General features: G+C 41.8%; 1 pseudogene, besides 3 other annotated features; it reads left to right on the forward strand.

The window, feature by feature from the left end:
• Nucleotides 1,846-2,377: an enhancer, noted in NCBI's record as "OCT4-NANOG-H3K27ac-H3K4me1 hESC enhancer chr9:15138267-15138798 (GRCh37/hg19 assembly coordinates)". NCBI's record gives its function as "activates a minimal SCP1, AML or CMV promoter by ChIP-STARR-seq in primed H9 embryonic stem cells {active_cell/tissue: H9 hESC(primed)}" and the evidence as "EXISTENCE:reporter gene assay evidence [ECO:0000049][PMID:30033119]".
• Nucleotides 2,378-2,909: an enhancer, noted in NCBI's record as "NANOG-H3K27ac-H3K4me1 hESC enhancer chr9:15138799-15139330 (GRCh37/hg19 assembly coordinates)". NCBI's record gives its function as "activates a minimal SCP1, AML or CMV promoter by ChIP-STARR-seq in primed H9 embryonic stem cells {active_cell/tissue: H9 hESC(primed)}" and the evidence as "EXISTENCE:reporter gene assay evidence [ECO:0000049][PMID:30033119]".
• Nucleotides 2,910-3,440: an enhancer, noted in NCBI's record as "NANOG-H3K27ac-H3K4me1 hESC enhancer chr9:15139331-15139861 (GRCh37/hg19 assembly coordinates)". NCBI's record gives its function as "activates a minimal SCP1, AML or CMV promoter by ChIP-STARR-seq in primed H9 embryonic stem cells {active_cell/tissue: H9 hESC(primed)}" and the evidence as "EXISTENCE:reporter gene assay evidence [ECO:0000049][PMID:30033119]".
• On the forward strand, nt 6,866-6,963 carry RNU6-559P (RNA, U6 small nuclear 559, pseudogene; annotated as a pseudogene).

Genomic DNA, 10,402 nt, shown 5'->3' on the forward strand with positions numbered 1-10,402 from the left:
CAGCATTGATTAATGATAAAGATGACCCTTGGTTGGTAAATTGCATCTGGACTAACCAACTCCATTTTGCTTCTAACCACCAAGCTGTCCTTGTTCATTCCTGGGCATAGGCTGAATTAACTTTGAGAGGAACCTGTTTATAGTTTATAGTTTAAAACAAAGATGATAACAGGCTTTTCCCAGGGAAAATCTCCTTCTTGCCTGGGGACTAGACCGCCTTCGCAGGACTAAGAAATTAGCCACAAGATTAGAAATTTCGGTTTAGGAGTCATGCAGCTGGAGGCTACAAGATTCTGACACTACCTAAGCTGCTCCTAAGAGCAGTGCTTGAGATGTTTTGCAGACCCAGCACTTGAAGGATCAGGTGACACCACCTGGACCAATAAACTGGCTCATCTGATCTTGTGCCTCCCACCCAGGAACTGACTCAGCACAAGAAGACAGCTCGACTCCCTATGATTTCACCTCTGACCTGACCAATCAGCACTCCCGGCTCACTGGCTTGCCCCCCAACCACCAAGTTGTCCTTACAAACTCTGATCCCCAAATGCCTGGGGAGACTGATTTGAGTAATAATAAAAGTCCAGTCTCCCGCACCACCGTCTCTGTGTGAGTTACTCTTTCTCTATTGCAATTCCCCTGTCTTGATAAATCGGCCCTGTCTAGGCAGCTGGCAAGGTGAACCCACTGAGCAGTTACACTATTAAGTTGTTAAAAAAAGTGTTTAGCCACTGTGAAGTTTGAGGCCTCCAAGCCATGTGCCTGCCTAATGTGTTTTGCCTCTCCTTGTACCACATCTGTACTGGCACAAGAACTCACACTGAAAAGGAATGCCTGATGCTGCCCTGTAGATGCACTGTGGTTCCTGTCTGACACCTTCCACGGCAGCCTGGGCCAAATGCATCCTCTGATAGTCTTGAGTCTCAGTGTTTAATTGATTCTAACAAGTCCCCCTTATAGGCATTGCAGATACATAAACACACATTTATCTATCTTTACAAAAAGTGAATCATCCCATAAAGTCTGATTTGGAGTCACTTTTACCACTTAAAATATCATCGCCATTTTTCTGCTGTTAAATATTCTATATTATTTATAATAATTGCATAATATCTATTATGAACATATAATTTACTAAACCTGGTATTGAACATGAAGACTGTTTTTTTTCCTTTTTTTGTTTTTTTTTTAAATTTCAAACCACACTTTAAGAAATATGGGCTGGGTGTGGTGGCTCATGCCCACAATCCCAGCACTTTGGGAGGCCAAGGTGGAGGAGAGCTTGAGCTCAGGAGTTTGAAACCAACCTGGGTGACATAGCAAGATGCCGTCTCTATAAAAAAGAAAGAAATACATCTGAGCTCAGTGGTTCATGCCTATCATTCCAGCACTTTGGGAGGCCGAGGCAAGAGGACTGATCACTTGAGTTTGAGACCAGCCTGGGCAAGACAGCAAGATCCTGTCTGTACAAAAAATTTAAAAATTAGCTAGGCATGGTGGCATATACCTGCAGTCCAAGCTACTCAGGAGGCTGAGGCTGGAGGATTGCTTGTGCCCGGTAATTCAAGATGGTATAAACACCCATCAGGTTCTTCCTGATCACTGCACAAACGAAATCAATTCACAGAGACTATGGCACCGCAGTAAAGAAAGAGTTTGACTGATACAGGGCCAGCCACACCTGGGAGTGGGAGATGGCGTCATTCAAATCAATCTCCCTGAGCATTTGGGGGCTAGCAGCATTTTCAAAGGTAGTTTGGGGGAAGAGGTGGGGTGCTAGGCAATAGATATCTGCTGTTGATTGTTTGGGGGTGCAGTCCTAGGGGTATGGGAAGTTGTCCCCCTGCATGCTGAGTTGCTTCTGGGTGGGGCCACAGGAGAGACTGGCAAGTCCAGGTTGAGCCATCAGTTTCAGACATGCAAAAATCCTGAAAAGATATCTCCAAAGGCCAATCTGAGGTTCTACAATAGTGATGTTATCTGCAGGAGTAATTGGGGAAGTTGCATATCTTGTGACCTGCAGAATAATAGCTGGTAATTGTTTATGTCTACCCCTTAGCAGAATTCAGGCTCCTCTATCCTCCTAGCCTGCTGGTCTCTCATTAGCTTTACAAAGGCAGTTGAGTTTTGCGGAAGGGCTATTACCATTTAAATTATAAACTAAATGTCTCCCGAAGTTAGCCTGGCCAAAACACAGGAATAATTAAAGGCAGCTTGAAGGCCAAAGGCAAGATGTGAATTGGTTAAATCAGATCTCCTTTAACCGCCATAATTTTCTCACCATTACAATTTTTGTGAAGGTGGTTTAGGCAGCAATGATCTATGATAGTGCCACTGCACTCCAGCCTGGGTGACAGAGCGAGACCTTATTTTAAGAGAAAAAAGAAAGAAAAGAAGAAATATGTGTAAGATGTCAAATAATTTAATATATCTATGATTATTTCAAGGATATGTTCACAGAAATGAAAAAGTCATATATATTCTGCTTGCATTCAGACTAATTTTGAAATTTCTACAAAAACCTTCTGTGACTATTTCTTTTTTTTTTTTTTTTCCTTTTTTTTGAGACGGAGTTTCGCTCTTGTTGCCCAGGCTAGAGTGCAATGGCGTGATCTCGGCTCACCACAACCTCCACCTTCCAGGTTCAAGCGATTCTCCTGTCTCAGCCTCCCGAGTAGCTGGTACTACAGGCATGTGCCATCACGCCTGGCTAATTTTGTATTTTTAGTAGAGATGGGGTTTCTCCATGTTGAGGTTGGTCTCGAACTCCTGACCTCAGGTGATCCGCCCCCCTCAGCCTCCCAAAGTGCTGGTGAGAGAAGAGAGACAGACCCTCTCATATTGTTTTATATTGTTTTATACTCAGAAAAGAAAAGAAAAGCAAAACAAAATGCAGGCAGCCCGGCGCCTAAGAACCAGACCCGAAACCAGGCCTGGGCCTGCCTGACCTAAGCCTGGTAGTTAAAGATCGACCCCTGACCTAACCGGTTATGTTATCTATAGATTCCAGATATTGTATAGAAAAGACATCATGAAACTTCCCGGCCTGTTCTGTTTCACTCTGACCACCGGTGCATGCAGCCCCTGTCACGTACCCCTTGTTCAATCGATCACGACCCTCTCACACGGACCCTCTTAGAGTTGTGAGCCCTTAAAAGAGACAGGAATTGCTCACTCGGGGAGCTTGGCTCTTGAGACAGGAGTCTTGCCTGATGCTCCCGGCGGAATTAAACCACTTCCTTCTTTAACTCGGTGTCTGAGGAGTTTTTGTCTGCGGCTCGTCCTGCTACACTAGGATTACAAGGCATGAGCCACCGTGCCCGGCCACCTTCTGTGACTATTTCTTTGATATAAGTGCTTTTTTCAGCTCTTAATTCACTAGGTGAAGACCTTATCCATATCTATTTTTCAATGATCTAGTATTTATAATGTAAAATATGTAATAATTATTATTTTTCAGAGATTTTCCATAAAATAAATCCACTTGATAATGGTAAGTATACTGCTTTATAAATCTAACAGTCATAGTTTTTTGGTTAAAGAATAAAATGAATTTATAGCCTATACATTTCTTTTTTCTTGCCAGTGAAATGGAGACAAGAAGTTTCCTCAGTTGCTGAAGCATGTTTATAAACCTCTTCTAAAATTAGAAGTAATTTATGAGTAAATGTTCTGTGTGATACAGCTGTGTATCCATCTGGCCCTGGTGCTTTATTACCTGCTATGTCTTGTAGGGCAATTTTTAAACATTTCTTTTCATCCACAGAGCATATTTAATTTCCCTTTGCGTCTGGCCTCAATAATTCCAAAACTCTATTTCATCCTCATAGCAAATACACAAAAGAAATCCCATAATCCTACATGTTATTTTCCAGGGGTTATACTTGTAAGGCTCATAAATCAATGAGAAGCTTCAAAAAGGAATTTTCTTAAAGTCTATTTAGAATTTGCTTATCTTGTCCATGAGACAAACTTTAAAAAATATTGAAAATCAGCTTTTATCTCATCAGTATATGTCCTTTTAGAATCACAGACATATCTATAAAGAAGTTGCCAATGTCCTACAGAATTTCTTTTCAAAGAAGAGACCATTTCTAGGGAGTTACTCATAATATCTCAAAGGGCAATCTGGATAAGTCAATTAAACAAGCAATTGGTAGGCCTTCTCTGACTTTAGACTTGAGAGTAATGAGGAAATAATGGTTGCCTTTGTTGGATCCCAACAAAACTAATATGGAGGGCTATCTCCTGAGAAGACTGGGAAACCTGAGCCACAGCTACCAAGGTGTATGCTGTGGTTAATTATGAGAGTGGAGCCAGGTGAGTGCCTTTCGTCCAGGGTAAGTATCTAGAGAGAGATTTTGAGGGCCCTCACTCCCATACTCCACTGCATCTGAGACTTCAGGGCACAACCAAGACAGAGGCAATGGGAGGGGATTATTTTTAATGTCCTTTGTATTAATAAGTCCAAATAAGGGGAACCCCATACCCACTGTGAATGTAAAAAGGCACGATGCTTGTGAAATGGCATAACCTGGATACTGAACTCAGGCAAATCCTGAGAAAATTGCACTGATGTCCTTGGAGAGGTGCTGGGTCCAAATGAGAGAGTGAAGGCAAGTCTGTGACCTGCTCAAGTCACTCCATTGGCCACATCTCCAACAATAAAACCAAATCACCAATTGGCCTTGATGCCAAAGATCACAGTGATGATCATAATGATCTCCCCTTAAAAGCAGATGAGTTCCCCAAGTTTAGGAAAGAGGAGGGTGTGGTGGGGTGCTTCCCATAGCTCTGGGGTACAAAGCCGCACTTTCTACAGTGAACGTTGATCACAAGATTGAAAACCATCTACTTGAGGTTTGTTTTTAGTCTTCTTAGGAGACATGGCAAAGAAGTTTGAAGGGTCTAAATTATCTACGATGCTCTCTTCAACTCAAAGCATTTAACTAAGTACCTAACACTGCCTGCTATTACTTACTTAAGGTAGTACCTGATTCTAGAAACAGTGCTAAGCATATCACAGGTAACACACTCACTTACTAAATATCGGATGTAACAGAGTATAAGAATTAAGTAGCATAAGACCGTAGGATTTGCATCTACATTTCCTTTTCATCAAGAATGATGTCTTATTTGTCTTTGCATCCTTGGGAGAGTACTGGGCACACAATGGGCACTCCACAAATATGAAACAATCTAAAGCTATAACTATTTCAAGCAGTGAGAAATTTTCCAAAGAGAAGAAAGCCTTTCAATTTTTTCAGTAATTCAGCATTTATTTTTAGTAATGTAAATTATACCCCCAAAAAGTTATATCACCTATGTATTATTCTGTTTGCTTTAAGTATGACATTTCAGAATACAAAAACCAAAGCCTAGGCCTGTTCTAGAAGAGGTTTGCCTCCTTGGTGAGAGTGTATTTACAAACCTCTCCTGGAGCAGCAACAGCCCCCAAAGTATTCCACAGAGCATCAGTTCTGCAGGCCACTAGGTCATGTGCATAATCAGCAACGGCATTAAAGTGGATCTGTGGTCAAATCAGAGTAGGGGATACTGGGCTAAGAAAGGGTAAACCAGTTTCTTTACAGGAACGCGTATTAGAACCCTGACTGCACTTCATACCTTGTAAACCTCCCTCAAAGAGCATATGGGCTGTGGCATTTCTCAAGTCCACTTTTGCATGGAACTGCTTCTTCATGATATGTCTTCAGGAGCAACCGTTTACTGAACCCTCCTGCCTACCCATGTCTCCAGTGGTTTGCTTTTGGTTCTGCTTTTCCTCCTTGCCATCAATTTTTAGTAGGTGAGACTCTTCTTCTGTTTGTGGTCTAGAACATTAGGAGTAGAGGCAAGAAACCAGGTTCCAGAATCCTAACTTCTAGATCACCAATTGCTCCTGATGGAACTAAGAAATGCCTTCAAAGCTACTTGGAACTACGGGTAAAGGTGAAAAGATAATTAAGGCAAAGAAGAAAGAAGGCAGGGGATACAAGAGAAGACGAAGGCAGAGTAAAAAATAAAAAGACAACACAAGAAGAAATACATGGTGAGAAAGGATGCAAAACCACAATTAACACTCCACCTTCCACTTTAACACAAAAACCTCAGAGAGGAGTCAAATTCCAACCATCAAGGAGGTAGTATTCCTGCAGGAGTAGTGGACCGGTGACCTGAAGAGCAGCCTTTTTCTGGGTCCTCAGCCTCTTACCCTCGTTAGCCAAGGGAAGTTATCCAAGCACACAGCAAATCTTTGCCATCACTCTGATGTATTCTTAATGTTTCTCACCATTAGGGTTTCTGCTATTTTGAATGCATAATATACTGTCTACTAAAATTCTTTGATCTTAACAAAAACAAAAGCACACAAATGTTGAGTGGTGGGCAGAGACCATCTCTATTTGGCTTAGAATCACAGATTCACAGATGTTCAGAGACTTAGAGACTTTAGAGGCAAGGTTGTTTTGGTGACTGTCTTGCAAGTAGCCCACAGAGATGTGTGTTTTTATAAACCTTGCTCTCTTTTCCAGCAGTTCATTAAAAGTAAACCATCCAAGTCACCTGTTCACTGTGGCTTCCTGTCAGGAGGGACAGTTTAGATGACTTCTTGGAGCCTGTCAACTCGTACTGCACTGATGGTATCAGATGCAAGCTGGGGAATTTGGAATGCTATCTGCAATAGTGACATCTGGTGGCTTCTAAGTTCTACTGCACCTCCTTAAGGCAGGAAAGCAAGCCTGGCTTTTAAGCAGTATTTGTGAAAAAATAAAGGAATTACATGAGTTCTGGAAAAGGACCTCAGAAATGGTATCATTTAACAATCTCCACTTGAACGCTTATGTTACTCACTATATTAAAAATTATGGTGCTTGTTTCAGGAGCACACAGACTAAAATTTTGAAAACTACAGAGATTAGCATGTGCAAGGATGACACACAAATTCGTGAAGTGTTCGATATTTTAAATTTTATATATGTACATTTTTTTGAGACAGGATCTCACTTCTGTCACCCAGGCTGGAGTGCAGTGGTGCCATCATGGCTCACTGCAGCCTCGACTTTCTGTGTTCAAGCGATTCTCTTGCCTCAGCCTCCCAAGTAACTGGGACTACAGGTGTGCACCACCACGCCTGGCTAATTTTTGTATTTTTTGGTAGAGACAGGGTCCCACTATGTTGCCCAGGCTGGTCTCAAACTCCTGGGCTCAAGCGATCCTCCTGCCTTGGCCTCCCAAAGTGCTGGGATTATAGGTGTGAGCCACCATCCCCAGCTTATGTAATTATTTTTAGAAAAGATAAAAAGAAAAAATTATGATGAAAGAACTATTATGAGATGAATCCTTGTTTCTAAAGGAGAAGCAGCTAGAAAAATATTGAATTATTTGGATTGCAAAGGGTCTTGCATGTCTCTGAGTGGGGTTTTGAGTTGGTTTTCCATGTCTGCTCTGTGGTGTCCCTCATCCACACACCTGATAAATGGGTGATGAGCCAGGCAACCCCACCTTGTACCCCCTGCACCATGATTTTAAAAATGAAATGAACAATAAACATTCTCTTTTAAGAATTCTGAAATTGGGAGAATCAAAGATATTGTTATTTATCTAGAGAATTGAAGGTGGCAGTATCCCATGAGGTAGTGGGGTAACAAAAATGGACCCTCTACAAGATGAAGTTTTGAAGAAGCAAGAATCTATGAAGACACGAAGCTGCCTTCTTCCAGTCATGAGAAGAATGGAATAAATGTGCAAAGACAGGCCACGAAGCATGAAGGAAAGATAGGGAAATCAATGGAGAGGGAGGCAGAGAGTGAGGCAGACGGTGAGGCAGTGGGGCTTGATCCTGGGGCTAACTTGGTTGCTGCCCTTCCTTGGGCTTAATTGCTCTTTAATTGAAAAAAGAAAAAGTCCCAGGGGACACCTGAGTGATTTCCTAGACATAAAAACAGACTTGACTACTCCTAATTAAAATATCAAGTTTTTTCACAAATCTGAATTTTGCTTTTCATACTGCACTAATTCCTAAGTACTCATTGCCTGTTTTCTCTATTTGTCAGTGCTCAGCAGCCCTGACAGAGGGGGCTTCTGGATTGAAACTATATTAGACATGTTGCTTCCACATTTATGCATTAAAGGCTTGGCCACCTGGGAAAAACATAACCTGTGGACTCCTTTGTCTTTTACTCTTCAGCACCGCACAGGTGCCCAATTCAGTTCTGCAGAGGTGCTAGCTTAGAGTCAAACTTGATGTGTTCAACTCGGCTTACTCATCATCCCCACTCATCCTGCCAACCCACTCATCCCCGTATCGCTGACTTTCTTCCAGGAACCTGTGCCAAAAAACTGGGAGTCATTCTAGTCCCTCTTTCACACCCCAGATCAAATTTCGTGTCACTAAATTTGTTTAACTTAAAATTGCAGAAGCACAATCTTAGCCATCAACTTGCTTTGTGTAGTTTCCTTATGCATTGCTTCATTCCTTTGGTCTGAATTAGAAATGCTTCTTAAAGAGTAAACACATTAAATCTAATCAACTCTATTACCATTGTTGACAGTCAACACCAATGGGTGTTTTTTCCTATTGTAAACTGGTTTGGCAAAAAGTCAAAATTGTTTTAGTCCTGAGTCAACACTTACTTCTCCAACAAATACTTTGACTAAATAATACATGTTGGGGACGCTGCTGGACAGGATAGAAATGTGATTAACTTAAATAACTTAACTCATGTTTTGAAAACACATACTTTCAAATTAACTGTAAGTAAATGATATGCATATTGTAATACACAGATGGAAAATATCAGGTAACAGAGGAAGAAATAAGGAGTCTCACCCAAGGAATAGAGATGTGAAAACTATATGAACCTAGTCAAGTAAATATCACAAAACAAAATGTAAAGAATATAACTGTGCCAACTGTTAAGAAATAAGGAAAAATTCGTAATACACAATTTATGTATAAATAATATTTGACTACATTCAAGTAAACATTACTTCCAAGCTTTTTTAGTGCCACCTCATAAAAACAGGAGCAAAACAGGGATGAGATCTGGCTTTCCCAGGAGAAAGGTGGTATGGCCAGTAAGGTAAAGTGGTAAGGCCAGTAAAAAAATTCTCAAAATTCTTCCATCACCAGGACAGGAGGCAGAATGGATGGGGCATGTGCTGAGCTGGCCTCAGGTGCTACACCCCTACCCCCACCCCCACCCTCACCCCCACCCCAGCCTGGGCCCATGCCAAAATGTCTCCGATGTTCATATGCCCATCATAATAATGGACAGAGAATTTAGCAACCTTGCATAAGGATGGAGGTGTACAAGAAAAATCTGGCCCACTGACAAAGGCAGAACAAATCACTTGAGAATCTTCTCATGAATTAGAACCACAGGGGACAAATTGCCACTGCCAAGCCATGTTTTCCTTGTCGGGCAGTTTTGTGTGAAAATGGACAGCAAAGCAAAAGGACACAAAGAACACAGTATTTTGCACCAGGAGTGTTTTCTCAGAGGAACAGACAACTTACTGACCTCCACTTTCTCTCACCAGGTTCAAGGGCACCTCGGTAGGAGGGTGGCTTCCTCCTCCTTCTTCCAACAGGCCCAACATGGCGGGTTCTTTACCTGTTCCAAGATCGCAGTTCCCAGAACAACATCAAAAGCAGTAATGTAAAGTCTGTTTTCTTTCTAAAAAGAAAACTCAGGAGGTAAGGAGAGGCAAGACCTCAAAAGCCTCCTTTATTTGGAATACTAAATTGCACCTGAGGCATACTCAATTGAGACTTTCTCTCCCACCTTTGGAGATCTTACTCCGTTGGAGTGGGAAGACGGCAACTCACATAGTAATATGGAATTTGAATAGAAAATAAATTGTGCTGAATCTCACGTATGATGTCCTAAAAGTGTCCAAAATGATGTCATTAAAAAGGCAGGGAGGGGGACTGCAATTAGATGGATGAGGAAGAGGCAGTTGAGAAAACAGATTAATGATGCCGTTGACACAATCAGCCTGTGAGGAATACTGGTTTCTATGACAACCAAACCACTTAACCTCAATTAACAAAGCTGTTCAAAAAGAAAAACTTGAAAGATGGGGAGGGGAAAAGCCAGCGGATCCTCTTTGGGGGAATGAAGTAGCCTGTCCCCTCAGCGCCTGTGAGACAAGCGTGTATTAACTACATATCCGCAGGGTGCGTATCCTCTTACACTCTCCAGTTCCCAGTAATTAGTTTTCAGAAGCAGCCCAAAGATGTTGAGAAATTGCAACTCATTAGCGCGGTTTTCTGACAGAAGAGACTTATTATCCTGATTGAGCTTTAACTAAACAGCACGGACAGGAGGAGACAAAAGGCTACCTCTTGCTTTTCCCAAACTCAGTGTTGCTGTTCACACACACCAAGTTCCCAGCATCT

This window comes from Homo sapiens, chromosome 9 (assembly GCF_000001405.40).
Source record: "Homo sapiens chromosome 9, GRCh38.p14 Primary Assembly".
NCBI lineage: Eukaryota > Metazoa > Chordata > Mammalia > Primates > Hominidae > Homo > Homo sapiens.